At 37.7% G+C, this 21176-nt stretch overlaps 2 protein-coding genes across 56 annotated transcripts in view, besides 1 other annotated feature; both read left to right on the top strand.

The window, feature by feature from the left end:
* SLC4A7 (solute carrier family 4 member 7) overlaps window positions 1-5711 on the top strand; it is a 111662-nt gene extending 105951 nt beyond the window's left edge. For all 26 annotated transcript variants that reach the window (NR_135541.2, NR_135544.2, NR_135543.2 and 23 more), the window contains one exon: window positions 1589-5711. Coding sequence is in view for 22 of the 26 variants with exons in the window: in XM_017007527.3 (XP_016863016.1) it covers window positions 1589-1670 (82 nt within the window). In the remaining 4 variants the exon portion in view is untranslated. The remainder of the gene's footprint in view (window positions 1-1588) is intronic.
* Window positions 9051-21176, top strand: part of NEK10 (NIMA related kinase 10) — a 262900-nt gene continuing 250774 nt past the window's right edge. For 16 of the 30 annotated variants that reach the window (NM_001394969.1, XM_047447506.1, NM_001394967.1 and 13 more), the window contains exon 1: window positions 9051-9209. The gene's annotated coding sequence lies outside the window, so the exon portion shown is untranslated. The other 14 variants (XR_001740034.2, XM_047447507.1, XM_017005768.2 and 11 more) reach the window with 3 other exon arrangements.
* Window positions 9293-9793: an enhancer, noted in NCBI's record as "H3K4me1 hESC enhancer chr3:27410132-27410632 (GRCh37/hg19 assembly coordinates)". NCBI's record gives its function as "activates a minimal SCP1, AML or CMV promoter by ChIP-STARR-seq in primed H9 embryonic stem cells {active_cell/tissue: H9 hESC(primed)}" and the evidence as "EXISTENCE:reporter gene assay evidence [ECO:0000049][PMID:30033119]".

Genomic DNA, 21176 nt, shown 5'->3' with positions numbered 1-21176 from the left:
TTCATACTCAGAAAATTCTTCTTTTTTATGTACAGTTTGTGTGAGATGCTATGTTGGGTGTCTGTATATTCTGCTTGGGCATCAGATGAAAACTTTTCTAGGCCTTCAGTCATATAGCTGTTTTTGTTCACTTGCTGTCTTAGCTCTGTCTTCTGACAATAATTGATTAGCTTTTTCTCATTCTTTCACTACCCTCTTTTAGAACCTTTTTCCTACCTACTCTCTATCATATGTTTTTCTCTTCTGTCATCTGAGTTCTAATTTCTCAGCTGGCTGTTTCCTTTCTTCTGTCTTTGATCTTAAAAAGTTTTAAAGTTAAACTCTTTGTAATTTTGGATCATTCAGTACAGCCAGAATTTTTCTAAATATTCTTTTTACTATTAGTAATTGTTCACACTGTGTCAGCACCTCTGGCCTTGTTAGTATAATTATCATAAAAAATAAAGGCCTTACAATAATAACTAACATCTTTTATGCTTCTGCCTTTTGTTTGGGTTGCCCTGCACTTCAAAATCACATAGGAAGAAAGAGAATATCTTGGCTATGTTGTTTAACAGGAAAATGTTTGGGGATTGGGGTCTATTCTTCAGTTTGTCTGGAGAAGACAGCAAACCATAGTGTGTTTTTACACTTTCTGAAAACTTTTTCCAGAACCCAGATATTCATATGTTACAATTAATCAATTAAATCCATGTATGTGGAGTCACTGTGTGATACTAACTTGAAAATATAGAATAGGTTGGCCGGGTGCAGTGGTTCAGGCCTGTAATCCCAACACTTTGGGAGGCCAAGGTGAGTGGATGATTTGAGGTCAGGAGTTCGAGACCAGCCTGACCAACATGGTGAAACCCCATCTCTACTAAAACTACAAAAATTAGCTGGGCATGGTGGTGCATGCCTGTAATCACAGCTACTCGGGAGGCTGGGGCAGGAGAATCACTTGAACCTGGGAGGTGGAGGTTGCAGTGAGCCGAGATTGTGCCATTGCACTCCAGCCTGGGCAACAAGAGCAAAACTCTGTCTCTCAAAAAAACATATATATATTTCAAATATTTGTTCTATATATATGTAGAATACATATTCATAAATACAAAACCAATATGTATATAGAATATATAGAATAGATGTATTGGTTTTGTATTTATGAATCAAATTTGGGGTGAGAAGTTTTATAAATTTATAACCTTCTTGGAAATTATTTGATACCTATCTATATTAACAAAGATTCATATATTAATAGATTTTTCAGTAAAAGTCTCATGCTATAACTGTTCATATGTGAAATAAAAGTAATCCAACAGATTCTGACCATATACTGCCCTATTTTAAGGACCCCCTCTTTAGTTGTAAGAAAAACATGAATTTAAATTGCAAAGAGGATTTTTAATATTTGCAATTTTTAAAAAACAATTTTTAATATTTGCTTTTCCAGTTATGTTTATTGATTTAGAAAAGCTAAAATTAGCAAGTCATAAGTTTGTAGTGTTAATAGTAATCTCAGAAGGTTTAGTATACTCATTGTTAGCCATGTTTAGAATTGAATATTTATATTTTAAAATTATTTATTTTAATTCTTTGTTTTAAATAGTCCTGATAAACCTGTGAGTGTGAAAATAAGTTTTGAAGATGAACCAAGAAAGAAATACGTGGATGCTGAAACTTCATTATAGAATTGAACCAAGAGGCATTATACATATAGATATATACATATGTAATGTGTGCGTATCATGTCACTATATATAAGAATATTGTATGTCATGCTGTTTATGTGTGACTACCGGGTTTTTAAAAGTAGTGTCTGGAGTTTGTAATGAGCACCGTGGAGACTATGTATTTAATGAAATGCTCTCTTTGAAGTGAGGTACATGGTTCTTAACTATTCAAATATTTATTCTGTTAGAAAAAAAAATTTTCTGTTTTGCAATAGAAGGATGTGGAGAAATGCTTTCAGTCTACTTTTCTTAAATCTCTGTTCATCAGTGGCAATTCGTAAAAACCTTAAGTGATACTTTGTTTATATGTTTATAATTTTTAGGTGTTTCCTGAAATTTTCACATATTATTTCACTTTTGTTAGTGCTTTATGGGAAGAATAGGGAGTCTATACCAGTGCTGTGGGAAAAATGGTAACATTTCAGGGCTTCTCTATTTGTGTTTCATTTCTGTAGATGTCCATCGTGTTTCACTAACTGGCGTTTTCTTAGCCATAGAGATGACTGTAGAACAATAGAAACTTTAATAATGATAGTTTTTAACTTTTATGTTTAAATTTTTTTTAAATCTTAAAACCTTCATATCTAGGTATCCATTGTGACAGACAAGTAAAATTGCAGGTGATTTGATAATTAAGCACCCATACCATTTATAACTTCTGAATTTAAAAAGTTATACAATGCCAGTTTGCAATAGTTGATTTTGATGCCTTTGTAGAATATTTTTTCTGAATCCTTATGCTCTTTTAAAGCCAATGATTCCCACTCTGTTCTCTGCCTTGTCTCTCTTTGTCTTAAAATGCTTTAGTTTCCATCAGGTTCAAGTTCTTGACTATTATTCTCTTATAAGTAGTAGGCGTAAATAATCAGGAGTTAGAATTCTCTCAGAAGGGTCTATGATCAGTATTACTTTATTAAGAATTACCTTTCATTTTCTCTTTATGTTATTCTTTCACTTTTGTAGATTACATTTAATAGCTTGTTACCTGTGATTTTATTTTAAAATATTTATTTTGATATGATGCTTAAATATTATATAAACATTTGGAAAAGTAACAAATAGAGTAAATTGTTAATGTAAATAGTTGGTGCTTACTTTCATTTATGTTTATTATCTTAAAGCAATTGATAGATTTTACATCTTTGATATAAAGCACTGCCATATTTATATTTTAAAAGGAAATTAGACATTTTATATGTAGCTCAGATTAATGACATTTTTATTTTGTGTATTAGTTTTTGCTTTTCTGAGCTTTTTAAAGTCTAACAAATCTTTTTAGTCATCTTTTATATACTTTTAGTTCCACATGAAATAAATGTTGTTAAGCCTGTAGGACTGGATGAATGGGGTTGTGAAACTGATTTGACAAGAGAATAATTTACAAAAATCAAATGAGTATTGAGAAGCCACAGAAATATCAAAAATGGTGACATCACTATTAGGATGAAAATTTTATGAAATTCCAATGCTCCCTTTAACCATATAATTAAATTACAAAGGTATACATAATTAATCTAATAAAGGATCATGAGGAATGCCAAAAGCTGAAATTTTAGCAAGTCTGGTGTTTTAAATTCATTATAAACTATTTATTAACTAATGTAATGTCCTCCTCTAAGACCATATTGTAAGAGTCTTGTTAAAATGATGGATTCAACTTCTGCCTCGGATGAGAGGTTGGAAATGTAGCTGCTTTTCTTTAGAAAATATGTAGCTGTCATCATTTGGTACTGCCTAAAAAGAGTTAGACTCTATTGGCAATTGATAGAGTATTACCCACGGTGCTTATTATTGTTTATGAGCTTCCATTGTAATGATTCCTTTTTATTTGTAGCAGCATAATTATTTCCAAAGACCCCAGTATTTGCTGCTATTTTTAAAACTCCCCTGATGTACCTGAACAAGAGGATTTCCTCACATCATTTCCTTGTGTCTGGACATCAGGGGTAACAACTGTACTTACTTTACAGGAAGAAATTTTAAAACTGAAAACTACCTGGGATCATAGTGTTTCTGTGATTTTATTTAATTGTGTATAGTAATTATCCAGTGCCAGAAAAACCGTCACTTGCAAAATACTTTGCACTCAAAATGTTTTTACAATGCTTCTAAATGTTACTGGTTTCTGCTTTCTTTTGACTACTTGACTGACAAAATGATCTGACTACTCCATTTAAGAGCAAAGGTAACTCATGTTTAGGTAATTAACTGCTTGTTTTAAGTGATTATATTTCTTCCACTGTTTTTGAAAAATAATCAAAGATAGCATTCATTGAGAGACAGTGACAGATATAATTTACTACATATATTGATTTTTAAATAAAGTTGCCTTAAATAAGTGTATGTAAGCAGTAGTAGTTGCTATGTACTGATTTACCTCAAGGTGCAAAATAATTAAACCTGTACATATTCCATTTACAAAATAAATTCAGCCCTGCACTTTCTTTAGATGCCTTGATTTCCAGAATGGAGCTTAGTGCTACTGAATACCCTGGCCACAGAGCCACCTCAGGATATTCTTTTCTCCACCCTAGTTTATTTATTTATAGATATCTGTTTACAAAGTCTGTAGTAAATCCTGATGCTGACCATCTGAAATGTACTTTTTTTCTGAATGCTGTTTCAATCTAAAATAGCAGCTTTTGAGAAAACAATGATGTAAATTCCTTATGATAAAAGGATGATTCTATATATTCTTTAATGATATTAAATATGCCGAAGCCAAGCACACAGTCTTTCTAAAGTGTGTGTATGTTTGTGTGAATGTGAATGATACTGATCTTATATCTGTTAAAAGTTGTTTTAAAAAGCTGTGGCATCCCATTGTTCATATTTGCCAAGTCTTCTGTAAAGATGTCTAGGACGAAATATTTTATGTGCTAATGCATGTATTTGTAAACCAGATTTGTTTACCACTCAAAATTAACTTGTTTTCTTCATCCAAAAAAGTTTATTTCTTCCACGTACTTAAATTTTCTGTGTGGGTATAATATAGCTTTCTAATTTTTTTCTTTCACAAAGGCAGGTTCAAAATTCTGTTGAAAGAAAAATGCTTTCTGAAACTGAGGTATAACACCAGAGCTTGCTGTTTAAAGGATTATATGATGTACATCAGTTCTATAAATGTGCTCAGCAGTTTAACATGTGAATCCTGTTTTAAAGTGCTCAGATTTCAACTGTGTAAGCCATTGATATAACGCTGTAATTAAAAATGTTTATATGAAATAACTTAATGTTTTAAATTTATTTATGTAGATCACATCATTTTTATCGTATGCAGTGCAAATATGTGAAATGTCTTTTGGTTTATTCCAACAATTATTTATTTTAGAAAGTAAGTTTAAAGACTTTAAGGACATTCAAAGTTTAAAATAGTGTTCAAATTGCAAAATTTGGCAATCTTCATATAAATTGGTTTCTTTTCTAACTTTTCAAAAACTAACATTAAATGTCAATTATAGGAAAACATAGTTGGAAATGTAATCATCCAAAGATCATTTTTAAAATGAAATTTAATTAGCACATATTGAACATTTGACTTAATTGTTAAACCCCAGTTTTGTTTTGTTTTTTTAATCAGATTTTTGCACACTGATTAGTTTTTGTGTTGTGGCTTTTGTTGCTTTATTATTCAAGGTTTTTTTTTTTTTTCTTCCCCATGGGGGAGATTGTCTTCCAATGTTTAACTACGTTTAAATAAATAAAAATTGAATTTTATTGTTCATTTATATAAAATCTGATACCTTGATGTAATTTCACAATACAGTTCCAATTTTTATGGCTTTTATAATTACAATGATATTTTCTTCTATAATAAAATCCAAAGTAAACATTTAAATTGTAGAACTGATATTTTTCATTTATATGAAGTATAAGCCTCTACTGGGTCTATATTGTGAATCATCCTGCCTTTCAAATTTGTTTCATAATTGTTAGATGAAAACTATTTTTTTGGAGATGTTACTGAAGTTGATTGAGCAATAAAAGTCTACTTAATTAGTTGTTGGCTATTGTCTTTACTTTGTACTCTGATTATTAGAAGAGCCACATCTCTCTCTCAGCTTGAGATGGGATAGGAGAGGAAGGAAAATGAGTGATGTCTGTTTCCGGCCTCCTAATATTCCTAGGCTTCAGTAGGAGAGAGAAAAGAGGAAACACTGAGAAAAAAATAAAATAGTGTTTGTTTCACAAAGGTGTTTGATAGTTAAGAAATAATTGATATTAAAGCTAAGAAAAGGCTGATCCATTTATTCCCCCCGATTTTAGAAATGTTGCTGCGTGATGTGTAATGATCTGCATGATAATACCGAACTCTCCAGGGCTTTTCTTTCTTTGTTTTTGTTTGTTTGTTTGTTTGCTTTTTGTTTGTTTTTGAGACAGAGTCTTGCTCTGTCGCCCAGGTTGGAGAGCAGTGGCCCGATCTCTGCTCACTGCAAGCCGCCTCCTGGGTTCACGCCATTCTCCTGCCTCAGCCTCCCGAGTAGCTGGGACTACAGGCGCCCACCACAACGCCCAGCTAATTTTTTGTATTTTTTTAGTAGAGACGGGGTTTCACCGTGTTAGCCAGGATGGTCTCGATCCCCTGACCTCGTGATCTGCTCGCCTCAGCCTACCAAAGTGCTGGGATTACAGGTGTGAGCCACCACGTCCGGCCTCTTTCTTTGTTTTTAGTGACTTAGTTTATTAGGAATTATTTTCCTTAATAGCAAATTACAGGTCTTGGTTTGTTTTTCATTTGGCATGTGTGGAACACTTTCCTTTTGTGTTTTCTGCACTGAAAAACATCTGATAACCTCACCATGAATTTGATAGCCTTTGGAATAAGATGGGGATAGACACTTATGTTTTTGGAAATTTCATTTGAAAATGTAGTTTACATTTATTTTAGGGGAAAATTTTTTTTGTCAATTTATAATTCCTAGCTACAGACCTTTGAGATTCTGCAAGAGGAGAGAGGAAAAGAGTTAGCTCTCTTTGATCTGGCCAATAAAGGCATATCTGATCTCTTGAGTATCACTTCTTTTCATGGTTGACCCATACGTTCCTACCTCTGTGCTTTTAATGAAAACATTTCTGCTGTTTAGAAAACCTTTCTGCTTTTCTTTCAAAGCCCAATTTAAGTTCTGCCTTTACTTCAAATTGTACTCAGCCTTCTGCTTTCAGTCTACAAGATCATTCTCATTCCTCCACTTAGATTGTGTGTGTGTGTGTGTGTGTGTGTGTGTGTGAATAGCCTTTTCTTGTTCTAGACCATTGGGCTAAAGTATTTATAAATTTTGGGAAGTGGTTTTATCTTCTTGTTGAGGTGATCCTGAATATCTACTTACATGCAGATTTGTTACCTTTATGCTGTAGTTAGGACATTATGCTGTTTTACTTTTGAACTGTATAATTTACGTTATGCATTTCATTTAAAAAAAGGCCTTAGAAAAATATGTTTTCATAGTTTTGAGCCTTGCTATATAAGCTATAAGCTTGGTGCAAGATCTCTTGTGGGATTTTATTTTGTGTCATTTTACAGAGGGACCCTTAACATTTGAGATGATAGTGTATGTGTCTTTTAGAGGCAGTGTCATTCTTGCCTCTTAATCGCTGCAGCTTTCAGGGAAGTTCAGGAATATTCTGGGATGGCCAAAACATTAGTTTAAGACTTTAATTTTACTGAGTAGTGGAAAGATGGGAAGCACAATTGGTATTCTGGTGAAGATGAGAAGTTCAGTGCAGTCATGTCTCACTGCTTAATGTTTATTTTTTGAGATAGAGTCTTGCTGTGTCTCTCAGGCTGGAGTGCAGTGGCATGATCTTGGCTCACTGCACCTCTGCTTCCTGGGTTCAAGTAATTCTTGTGCCTCAGCCTCCTGAGTAGTAGGGACTAGCATGTGCCACCATGCCCGGCTGATTTTTCTGTTTTTAGTAGAAACAGGGTTTGGCCATGATGGCCAGGCTGGTCTCGAACTCCTAACCTCAAGTGGTCCTCCTGCCTCGGCCTCCCAAAGTGCTAGGATTACAGGTGTGAGCCACCAAGCCAGGCCGACTGCTTAACATTTAGAATGTATGTACAGAATACTTTTTCTACTCAGCATCGGTCTTCCTGCCCCGTCACCTTGTTTTGTTTTATTGGTAACATTAATCCTGATTGTTTTAGATCTCTGAAGTTTAATTAGTTCTGCTATACTCACCAGAGTTTGGCTTTCATCTCGCCTTTCTGCATTTCCAAAATAGGACCGTCTTCATTTTAAAAAATGCTTTCAATTACCCAAGCTTAAGTATTGTTAATCCAATGGGCCTACTTACTATCCACACCAGAAAAACGTTAGGGTTCACTGTATTCATTTAAAATCCAGTTTGGGAAGATGTAACCACCAGACACACACACGAGCGTTTAGTGATACCAAGATGAGGTTGAACAGGGCCCAGTACTCGAAGAAATCGTCGAAGGAGCATCATCGTGGTTAAGACCAGACTCGAAGTAGGTTTTACCCTGACTCCATCACTAGCTCTGCCATACTGGACTACTTAGGAAACTTCTTGTGCCTCCATTTTATAACTAAGTGAAATAAGGAAAGAATTTGAAATCGTGCCCGGCACAAAATTAAGCACTTAATAGATTGGCATTTTTCATTTATTTAAAGTTACAGAATGTCAGGTATATTTTTAAAGCGTTATCTAATGCAGTTCAGAAATTTTAAAGAAGCTCCAGACTTTCACAAAAGGTGAAGTGACTTGCCCAAAGCCACAAAACGAACTGGCGATAGTTATACTATACAGGTTTCTTGAATCCCAGGTCACTCTTTTTGTGAAAAATACGGTGCTGTGGCACCTTATTCTCATTGCCTGTGGCTTGAGTAACTGAAGACGTTTTCATGCCATATGAAAGGTATTTAGCATGCTGCATTGATTCCTTATCAGATTAAATCTTTGCTTTTAAAGAGAATTGATTTTTAGCCCATAGCAATTCTTGAAAGTAAACACTCCAAGATGAAGCTGCCCTTTCCCATCAAAGGTTAGACACCCTAAATCCAGAAAAATCTTCAACGTGTAGGAGACCTGTTCACAGGTAGCTCTAGGTTCCGGTGAAGTGGCTGCAGCACAGCCTTCAGCATCACTTGCTGCCTCTTCTGCTTGCAAGCTTGGTGGTGGATCTAGCGCGTCTCTGGTTGCTACGGCGATTCCCCGGCAGGCGTCATCCGTCGCTATGGCGTTCTGCACTGCGCAGCATGGCTGCTCCCGATTGGCTGAGGCGCCCCAGGTGGCGGAGGAAGAATTGTCGGCATTGGCCTGGCCAGCGCTGGTTGGTGGCCTGGAGGAGGATTTGATTGGAAAACCAACGGTGCAGCTGGCCGCGGTGTCCCTGAGGTTGAGGGGACCGGGAATAGGCTGGGGGGAGGACGGGACGGGCTGAGACTGGACGGGACCCCCGGTCTGCAGCAGCAGGTGACAGCAGCAGGGACAATGATAAGGAGATTGGCCTGAAGGAGGGACCGTCCCTCCCGCGCGGTGAGTAGGCGGGAGCCGGTGCTCGGCTGTGCCGGCGAGCAGCTTGAGTCAGGGTCTCCGGGGAGACGTCCTCAGGTCCCTGTGGAGCGGCCCCGAAGCCTCGGGAGCCAGCTTCACTAGACAAGAGGCAGAGGTAGAGAATGCGGCTGTGGTGGGTAAGTGAGTCACTGCGTGAGGCAGTCTTTTCAAAGCAGGTGGGTTTGTGTTGGACGGATGGATGGTGGGAAAGCGCCATCAACGATGCTTCTTGGCGCTTCCATTTTGATAACGGAATTATTCTGGTTAAATGGAGCCTGAATGTGTCTCTTCCAATCTGCTCCGACGCCTCTGGAGGTTCATTCTTCATCTCTATGAGCGTCGCTTTTCTGCCTTCTCCTTACAGGATGCTGCTTTGACTTTGCCCCTCTGCTTTTCTGCCCTACTTCGGTGAGCCCTTCCACTTCCTCGCCTCAGGCACCATCTATCTGACGATGATTAGAAAGTCTCCAACTGGAACCTAGCCTGCTCTACTAACTGTCAGACCCCAAAATCCAGCTGCCAAGTTAACGCCACACATGTGCAACCCTGAACGCCATCTTCCCCATGTCTGCTGCTGCTCTTGGATTCCCTATTTTGGGCATCACTATCCATTCAGCTTTCAAAAACTACACTCTAGACGACATCCATGACACTTACTGCTGCTTCCTCTGCATCTCTATCAATTATCAAGACTATCCCTTCTTAATAGGTGTTGAATCAATTCCCACATTACCATCTCTATTTTTACTGTCTCAATTTCCACCATCGGTTGGTTAAATTCAACACCCATCTGGCTTCTCCGATTCTAGTCTGGCCCTATCTATCCAATCCACTTTTTTCCCCACCATTGTTGAACTGATATATATATATGTGTATATATATATATATGGAGTCCTTCTAAAAAAGACTCCTTTTTTAGAAGGAGTCTTGCTGTGCTGCCAGGCTGGAGTGCAGTGGAGCGATCTCAGCTCACTGCAGCCTCCGCCTTCCGGGTTCAACCAATTCTCATGCCTCAGCCTCCAGAGAGCTGGGATTACAGGCGCGAGCCACTACGCCTGGCTAATTTTTGTATTTTTAGTAGAGAAGGGGTTTCACCATGTTGGTCAGGCTGGTCTCGAACTCCTGATCTCAGGTGATCCACCCGCCTCAGCCTCCCAAAGTGCTGGAATTACAGGCGTGAGCCACCGTGCCCGGCTAAACTGATCTTTTTAAAACGCACATAAGGGCATTTCCCTTCCCTACTTAAAGTCCTGCAATGATTCCCCATTACCCTAATCCAATCTTTAGTTAGGCCTTCTATCAGCAGTTCCATCTTGATTGTTCCCAGAATATGTCACATTCTCTCCTGTGTGTAATTATCTCACCTGTTGCTCACACTGCCTGGAATGGACTTTCCTTTTTGCACCCCCACACTCCTGCTCTCACTCCCCAATCATTTTCTGTATGTTGCTTGATTACTGTTTCTTTCTCTGGACTGCCTCTGTGACGGCAGAGACCATCTTTGTCTCAGTCACTATTGTTATATATATCCAGCATTTAGCCCAGTGCAAGACATCGTAACAGGTGTTCAACAAATACTTGTTAACTGACTGAATCTCTAAAATGAGAAGTTACTGTTTGCCATGGTATCTTTATTTCTTCCAGAAAAGTCAGAAATGGCCAATGAAGCTTTTGCTTATAAAAGGTAAATATTGAAAAAATGTTATAAAAGGTACAGGTTTTACTTTAATTTCAAGACCCTTAGTAATTGGAAACTACTTCAATTCACAGTTTATAGTTCAAGCCATAATCATTATCACGGTAGCTGTTATTATATGACATAAGCTTAAAATGGTAAAGAGAGAGACAGTACAGCATGGTGTGCAAGAGCTAAGCTTTGGAGTCATACATACATGGGTTTGAATCCTAGCTCTAGCATTTTAATTGTGTAACACATAACAAATTACTTAGCCTCTAGTCAGATTCTTTATCTGCACAATGGGGGTATAATAGCACCTAGCTCATAGGATTCTTTTAAAGATTATATGTACATAATTCATACCAAAGGTATAGTGCTTTATATATAGTAAGCTTTCACGTTTAAAAATGAACACACTGGGCTGGGCATGGTGGCTCATGCCGTGAATCCCAGCACTTTGGGACGATGAGGTGGGTGGATCACCTGAGGTCAGGAGTTCAAGATCAGCCTGGCCCACATGGTGAAACCCCATCTCTACAAAAAATACAAAATTAGCTGGGCATGGTGGCGCACACCTGTAATCCCCGCTACTTGGGAGGCTGAAGCAGGAGAATCCCTTGAACCGGGAGGCGGAGGTTGCAGTGAGCCAAGATCACGCCACTGCTCTACAGCCTGGGCAACAAGAGTGAAACTCCGTCTCAAAAAAAAAAAAAAAAAAAAATGAACACACTGAAGTCTAGAGCTGTGAAATTGTCATGGTGAGTTTACAAAAGGTAAAAATCAATCTTTTGATTCAGTCAAGTGCAATTTCTAGGACACCATCCTGTTGTTATAGTACTTGATCACAAACTTTTGTGTTTGGCGACAGCTCTGATACAGCTCTGAGTCTCAATCATTCAGTGAGTATTTATTGACCATCTAATGGGTTTGGGGCTCCATGCCCAGTGAGGGTGAGCCAAAAGACAGTGCAACAAATAAAGTCTTCAGGAGGTGGAAGAAGGGCCTGGAATGTTACTCTGCCTGTCACAGCCAGTCAAGCTTTGAGGCTGAAGTCAAAGTGAACTGGGTTGAGCACTTGGATAGGCAGAGAGGAGCTGGAAGTTCATCCAGACAGTCAACAAATATTTATTGAACACCTGGGCCTTCAGCAGTGAACAAAACAAAGGCACTATTCTCTTAGGACAGTTCTCAGGGCGCAGTAGAGCAGAGTTCATAGAACACAGATTCTGGAGCCAGACTGCTTGGGTTGTAATCCTAGCTCCCCAAATCCTAGATATGGGATTGGCAAGTTAACTTAATCTTTCTGCACCTCAGTTTCCTCATCTGTAAAATGGGGTGGTTGTGAACATTACATGAATTAATATGGAAAAATTTCTTAGAACAGTGGTCAGTATGCCTCAGGAGCATGTAAATGTTATTTATTTGTATTGTGTTCTATTTGGAACACAATACAAGGAGAGAAATAAGTAAAGCAGGATGAGGGAATAGTAATCATCAGCTTGTGGACAGGGTGTATGGCTTGGATTTGGGAATAAGTCTTACATTTTGAAAGATTTCATCTTCTAGATGAAAGTGAACTTTAAACAAACTCATGTATATGCCTGATATGTATCATGATTTAAAAAACAGGAATGGCCAGGCATGATGGCTCACTTTGGGAGGCCGAGGCGGGAGGATCACTTGAGGTCAGGAGTTTGAGACCGGCCTGGCCAACATGGTGAAACCCCGTCTCTATTAAAAACACAAAAATTAGCTGGGTGTGGTGACGCGTGCTGGTAATCCCAGCTACTCTGGAGGCTGAGACAGGAGAATCACTTGAAGCTGGGAGGAGGAGGTTGCAGTGAGCTGAGATCGTGCTACTGCACTCCACCGTGGGCAATAGAGCAAGACTCCATCTCAAAAAAAAAAAAAAAAAAAACACAAAAAAAAAACACAAAAAACCAAAACAAAAAAACAGGAATATGAGCACTGGATAAAATACATAGTTTTTTTATTTGGTAAAATAATTACTTATCTATAGGTCAAACTCCCCTCATCTCAGCTAAAATCTGCCATGGTCATAATGAAAGTCATGGACTTAAGTCCATACAGTTGGCATCAATTCAAAGCTTATTAAATCTTATATTAGAAATAGTTATGATAGACACAGATTCTAGCTTCAAAGCAGTCAGCAGAATCAAAGTGACAAAATGACAATTGACTGGCTCATGTCTACAAAAGATACCTAAGCCCTCCTGTAAAAATTAAAGTAAAAACTACAAGCAGGACAGATAAAGCACAGCAGCCATAACACTGACCTTGGGCCATGAGGAAAATGTTCCACAGTAGTTAGTATATTTTGCAAAAGACAGTTAATATGAAAAGTATGAATAAAATAATATTTCTTTATTAAAGAAGTAAATATTTATCTAGAAAATTCACTTAGGTGAATAGAGAGCTGGATAAATGCCACCAATAAATGAGAGTTAGTACTGCATTAGATTAACAGGAAGGGTTCTGCCTGGCTTCAAATCTCTGCTCTGCCACTTACCAGCTGTGGGACCTTGGCAAATGAATGAACCTCACTGGGCCTCATTTCCTTCATGTGTAAATTAGGGACAGTAAGGGTAGCTACCTTACAGATTCATTAGGAGTGTTACATTAGGTAATGTATAGAAAGCACTTAGAACAGTGCTGGCACTACCATGTAAATGTTTGCTCTTATTATGACTGTTGTTATTACTAGGTATGAGATCTTGGCCAAGTTCCTTGACATTTTAGTGCCTCAGTTTCTTCATCTGTAAGTTGGAGATATAATACTAATCACCTCAGAGGGTTGTTTTGAGGATTAAATGAATATACTAATGTGCTTGTAAGAATAACCCTTAATAGGTTTTTAAAAATTAAAATGAAAACCATTTGTGACATTGAATTTAAACTCTATTTTTAATTTTATCTCTAGTATTTTTCATTAATGAGTCAAAGTCAATGAATATAGACAAATGATTTAAAATAAATACATGGCCGGGTGCTGTGGCTCACGCCTGTAATCCCAGCACTTCGGGAGGCCAAGGCGGGTGGATCAGCTGAGGTCAGGACTTTGAGACCAGCCTGGCCAACATGGTGAAACCCCGTCTCTACTATACACACACACACACACACACACACACACACACACACACACACACACACACACACACAATTAGCCAGGCATGGTGGTGGGCGCCTGCAATTCCAGCCACTTGGGAGGCTGAGGCAGGAGAATCGCTATCGCTTGAACCTGGGAGGCAGAGGTTGCAGTGAGCCAAGATTGTGCCACTGCACTCCAGCCTGGGTGACAAGAGCAAAACTCCATCTCAAAAAATAAATAAATAAAGTAAATACACAAACTCTTCAAATGAAGTAATATTATTACCAGCCTGGGCGACATAGTGAGACCGCACTCTCCACACACACACAAAAAAGTTAATACTTACAACAGCTATCATAACAGTAACATATTTATCTAGTTGTTGACGGTTCTAAAGAGGTGTCACTATTTTATTTAGTCCCGACTGCCACCTTGTCATAGGCATGTTGTTATTTCTAATTTTTGGTCAATGAGAAAATAATCAGAGAACTCCAGTGACATTTCTGAGGTCACTCAGTGGGCAAGTGGAAACCAAGTCTCCTCTAACCCTGTTATTCTTTTTGACTATATTCCAGTGGTATAACCAGAAGAATTCACATTCCCAGACTTGTCAACTTGCATCAGTGGAGACAGTGGCATTCATATAATACACATGTGTATGCTACACTTGACACAATGTGAATACTCATCTTTCCTTTAGGAAACCTTATTGTCCTGTTCATGTATACTTGAGGTAGTCCATCTTTAACATCAATGTAATACTTTATATTCTTTTCTTTGTGGCTTCCTTGTATTTATGGAGAGATTTTGTCAAATCAACATGCTGCAATCACTGGATACTGGTCAGCTGGGGCAAACTTATTTGCTGTTCTTTTTCGTTGTCTCTACTCTCCATATCTACATCATGATATTCCAGTTATATTTGGAGCTTCCCAATCACATTTAACTTGGGATTTGTTCATTGATTGATTCATTCAGCAATTATTTATTAAATCCCTCTTTTGTTGTAAACTACAAAGTATGTGCTAGATACTGGGAATGAGCCAAAAAGCTGTCCTCCATATGCTTGACTAGTTTACAGTAAACTAATGGAGATGGAAATATGTACTTATTGAATTATGACCTGAATCAGCCTGTTTGTCAAAAGCTGCAAGGCAATGCTTGGCAGGGTTGTGACCCTGTCTAGGAGGTCAGCTCAAAGAATGGATACTTCAGTTGAGACATGAAGGATGCGACATCCAGCCTTTCCATACCACTGTGGCCCTTGAGTCCAGGAGTAAAGGCCTGGGGATATTCAGGAGGAGTAACTCTGTGGTGGCAGTTCAGGACCAAGTGTGAGTAACAGCTGGCTGGGTGGCCAGGAGCGCCAATTGCACGCAGCACCTCTCAGACCTTGGTAAATTTTCTTTTTATCCCAGGAGAAATGGGAAGCATATAAGGGCATAATTGGTCAAATATGTACCATAAAAAGAGTGCTTTTATTGATGTGTGGAGATAGATTTTTTTGTTGTAGTTGGGGAGAGGGAGAAATTGGAAGTTGGGAGATCATTTAGGAAGTGATAATGGTAGTTCAGGTGAGCACTGATGTAAGTTTGGACTAGGGCGTTGGCAGTGACGGTGGACAGATAAGTGTCATATTTAATAGAAAAATAGGACTTAGTAGCCAAATATCAGATACGGGGGTGAGGAAGAGGAAGGTGTCATTTTTCTGACGTCCATGCCAAAGGACTCTGTCTTATTTGGGACTATTTGAGACAGGATGAATGAATGTGTTAGGTTGGCGCAAAAGTAATTGCAGTTTTTGCCATTGAAAGTAATGGCAAAAACCACAATTACTTTTGCGCCCACCTAATATGTTTGCATTCTCCTTGCCTCATATAATTACCTCTGGTGTTCCTGCTACTTAATGCAGTTCTTTGAATTCCATGGACACTCTAACATTATCTCAGGTCAATTCCTCTTTATCCAAAAGAGTTGGCCAAAGATTAATGGAATGTGATAATAAGCTGAATGATCTGCATATAGATGTTTTACATTTCCAAGAATAGCATTGCTTCCAAACTTCTTAGCCATTAGCAGTTCCGTAAGCTGGCTTGCAGACTGAAGGCTGCCACTTACTCCTTTTCCCAACACTTGCCTTCTTCCAGATCCTTTAGCTCCAGCTCAACTCATCTACTCACTGTGTCCTCAAGCCACTTTCAGCATCTTGCCTGCATCCCTGTGTTCACTGGCCAGGCCCGTTGTTCACCCCCCTGCCCATCCTTCTGGACCTTCTTCAAGTTCACAGTTCACAAAATCTTTCTATAATCTTTCCTCTGATTTCATTCAGTTTATAATCTCATTTGGACATTTTTTTCTGCTTTTTGACACTTCTAGTGTTCTTATTTAATCCATTGTATTTGCCTAAACCATTAAAAAATGTCTTCTTTTACAAAGAGACATTATCAGCAATTTCATATGCTTTACCCTACATATTTATGATTTCCCACACACATTGGATTGTAAAGAGATTTTTTTTTTTTGTAGTGCCCAGTGGTCTTGTGCACAGTCAGAGCACAGTAAATAATAAAATGCACTTGAAATAAAATGTTATTAGATGAAATTCAATTTTATTTTATAGCTCAGAAAGTACTTCTAGTTTTTGCAGCGCCACCAAACATATGAACATCAATTTGTTGATTCAGTCTTCTCTTCACTTGTGAAAGTTCTAGGGGTTTGGGTTGAATCTGTACTTACTTTATTACTTATTACAATGATGGTTAACTATTTTATTGGAAGACATTATGAACCATGTCTTATTCAGTGTTGTATCCTCAGTGCCTGGCATATACTAGGGACTCAATAAATATTTCTTGGAGTAATGAATAAATATAATTCTCACCTTTCTGTTTCTCACAAAATCAGGAAATAGAATATACTCATATTCTATTTGGGGTCAATGAGAAAAGAGAAATTTAGTGTGCTACTTTAGTTATTTTTGTTGACGGGTTAATATAAATTCTTCCTTCACATCATCTGGACCTTTTTTCCTCTTTTCAATATTGCTGCTTAATATGTAAGTCTCAGGTTCATTTGCTCTAACACAGGCACATTGTAAACCATATGATGAGTAGAATTGGATGCTGTAGCAGCTACGCAAGGCACAGACATAGCATACCACAAATATCATTATGCAATGACAATGGAGGGGATCCACAGAACCTACATTTATATCTGCAGATTTCCCTTTACAATAAAAGATATAAGTTGGAATGAGAATAAATCAGAAAATAGGGAGGTTATAGTGGTATCTGTTGTCACATATTCTAGTTAATTTTGGAGCAGCCCTCAGACCAACATGGGCCAGTATTAGCCAGAGGAAAATGAAAATCAGCACTTAAAGGAGTGTCCATCATCATAGCAGGTGGTCAGTAACTATTTCGAGGATTAAGTGGGAGAGGGTTAGAATACTATTAGAATTCTTGGTTCTTTTTATCCCCAAGTGCTTGTTTACATATAAAATAGAAAATTGCTTAAAGTATTGACTATTTGCGCAAGGAAGGTGGCAAATGTACTGACTCAGGAGCAAGGCCATGATAATAATGCTTGTCCTTAGCTGACGACACACTCCTGCCCTTGGAGATTCTGTACCAACCGTGTCTTTGTTTACCACTCTATGATGATTAAAACACACCACCTACATATTTCACATGAGTGAACCAGGATGAATGAATGGATGTTTGCAAGCACCCCAGGGTCCAGGAGGTGAAGTTATGCAAACATCAGTTGTTGTTATATCACCCTCTGCCCTTGGCTAAGGGCCAATATCAACAAGTTCTCTTTTTCCCATCTGCCTTAGAGTTTTCCATGAAGATTTAGATCCTGAAGGTGAAGTGCGCTTTGTTCTCCTTCACTCCTAAAGATGCAGTGTGGCCTTTGACACATTTTTCCTCTCTGGGTCTTAATTTCCTCCTCTAGTAGAAGGGAGCTGAATCATGGTCTGCAACTGGTGACCTATACATTTGTTTTGTTATTTTGTGCAAGTGTCTTTTCTTGTTTTGCTTCATTTTTTATGTGCTTTTGAATCCCTCTTGGGAGAATGTGCCTTCTCATGTGTGACCGAAGCTCTACCACTCTCTACACCTCTCTTCATTCATTTACATTCTGTTCTTGGGCCTGGAGGGTGTTAGACGTCCTGATACTGCATGTTCTCTGAGGTTTATTCTTGTCATAGCTGTCTCTTTTCTGCTAACTCCACATATAGTTCCCATTGAAGAACAATAACAATGTAATATAAGGGATAAAATCAAGACAACAGTTTAGACTAGAGAACCAGATGTCCTTTTTAAACTGTAATGGGTATTAGCAAGTTATGTTTCTTACAGGATTTCCTCAACTTTTTGCTCACCTTATTTTGAAAATGTGTGTGTGTTTATTTTCCAGCAATTTGACCAATTTAACTTGACATTTTCTGTGGAGGATTTATAGTTTTCTAAAGCATACATAATTTGAAAAGTCCAAGCACTGTATATTTGTGAGATTTAGTGCAAATATTCTTTGCAAAAAGAAAATTGTTTCTTTATTCTCAAAGCACTTTAACTACATAAACTGCTGAAGTGGTGAATACATTTTAAGTGTGTATTTTGAAATAATTTTAGACGTAACATAGAAACTGCAAAAACAGCACAGAATTCCCATATACCCTTCACTCAGCTTCCCTTAATGTTGACATTTGTCATCACCATGTTACAGTCATCAAAACTGAGAACTAAACATTTAACCAGTGCATTTTAACATGTTTGTCTTATCTCTGGCTGCTCTATGTGACTTTTTATCTTATTTTAACTACTTTTCTCAAAGAATCACTATTAGAGGAATTTTTAGAAAAATATCTACAGTAAAGGAATTAGAGAAATGATTTTCCATTTTGTACTTCTAGTTAGTTATGGGGCTGAAAGTTCTCTAAATTCTTTTAATATGTCCCTTTGAAAACAGACAGAACTGTAACTTGTCATCTAAAATGAAAGGTTAATCATTATTCATCAGAAGAAACAGAGACTTCTTGTCAGTACAGGAAGTTCTAACTTCCTTTTGTGGTAGGGTTCATTGCAGTTTATTTTAGTGCTTTTTTCAAAATAATAAACCTGACATAGCCAAAATGGTAATTAACTTTAATCTGATGTATTTTCACTGTTATTACTTTATTTTTGATTGATTGATTGATTTTTTTTTTTTTTTTGAAATGGAGTTTCATTCTGTTGTCCAGGCTGGAGTGCAGTGGCACGGTCTCGGCTCACTGCAACCTCTGCCTCCTGGGTTCAAGTGATTCTCCTGCCTCAGCCTCCTGAGTAACTGGGACTACAGGCATGCACCACCACACCTGGCTAATTTTTGTGTTTTTAGTAGAGACGGTGTTTCACCATGTTGGTCAGGCTGGTCTTGAACTGACCTCGGGTGATCTGCCTGCCTTGGCCTCCCAAAGTGTTGGGATTACAGGCATAAGCCACCACTCCCTGGCCTGTTATTACTTTATAAGTACCGTTTTTAACCATTAGTAAATGTAGTAAATAAAATGGAGTATTTACAAAGATGCAACCTGAGTGATTAGTAGGAAAAAAAAGATATTTGTGGATTTGTGGGCGATTTACCATAATGATTCAAATGACTCTGTTTTATATTTAGTAAATATGAGGCCACCTGAGGATCTTTTGAGTAGCTAAGGCAACCATGGAATAAAAACGGGTTTCTGGGTAGAGATCTGAAAACCATATCACAAATACTCCCTATGTTATTTAGTTAGTAGGTTAATATTGCACAATTTAGATTAATTACACTCAGGTAATTTTGCCATGGCATGTGTTTCTTTCTCTGTCACATGTGTTTACTCAGCAATTACCAAGACATCACGAGCAAATGAGGGGCCTCTCTAGGGACTTCTTTAGCATTAACCCAAATTTCAAACAATAGAGGATAGAAATTACTTCTGAGAGTTTCTTTTAAAAAATGGATTTAAAAATTCAACAATGAATCATAACTGTGATTATAGCTGTACTTGTCTAGGGCTGTACGCACCAAACCCTGAGGTTTGGAAAAGTCTCTTCTCTCCCATCTGAGATGGTATTCAGGTCCCATGACTGAGGTGTACAAAAAAAGCAAAGACACCAAAAGTTTCTGTTTTTAAAGTAGCATGCCTTTGGTTTTTATATATAATCTTTCACTACTGTGACTACTCCCTATATAACAAAATAACAAACTTAATTTCCACCTTCTCATTAGAATGGAAGAAAAACCCATATAGGTACAAGTGTTTGTGTAGCAAATTCTCTTAACACTTATTTTACAGATAAGGCCAAAAGTTTTTGTAAAAAGCCAAAGTTTTTGGCCTAATCTCATTGGTAGAATAAGTGTTAGAGAATCAGTGGTTTTCTATTTTTATTTTAGCAATAGAATCCTTTTCTCTAATGAAACTGTATGCAGAACCCCAGAGAAGTAAGATTGCTTTGGTTTAAATGGAGAGTCCACCTTGAGCTTTAACTGCTTGGCCACAGTTCTCCTTTCCCAGCCTCACTCTCGCCCTCTCCTGGTTGTCATGGAGTTGTCAATTTCTGGGTTAGTCCCCTCAGACTCTGTACTTAGGGCTGTGGTTCTCAATTAGAGATTCATCTAGGGTTGCTGTGAAAACAGTTTTGTTACTTAAAAAGATAGACTTTAATAATCCAGACCAGTGGTATTCAGGTGATATTCAGACTGGTGTGTCACTGGTCCATGAGCAGATAAAGACAGAAATTGAGAATAAGAGTTTAGAAATATTTACAGCACTTCAGCATTGCCATGACATCTTAGGCACATCACCAGTGGCATTGTCTCACTGAACAGGATTTGAACCAAAAGTATCAGTCCATAAAAGATTGGAAATTAAAGAGTTCTTTATTACAGATAGTTTCAGAAGCACAGCGATGAGTATTTTCTTATATAGAACTCTAAGTTTCCCCCAATGACTGAATAATTCCTGAATGTGCTCAGGATTATTACAACATCACAAATGCTCATCAACTGATTTTATTTATAAAAGAGTTTTATGAGCGATTTGTTGACCTAAAAAAGTAATAACACAGGTTTTTTTTAAAATAATCCTTTTATCCGTTCATCCATTTATTAGGCATTGCATTCAATAAATATTTAT

This window comes from Homo sapiens, chromosome 3 (genome assembly GCF_000001405.40).
Source record: "Homo sapiens chromosome 3, GRCh38.p14 Primary Assembly".
In the NCBI taxonomy this organism is placed as follows: domain Eukaryota; kingdom Metazoa; phylum Chordata; class Mammalia; order Primates; family Hominidae; genus Homo; species Homo sapiens.
This window is presented reverse-complemented; position numbering and strand designations above follow the sequence as displayed.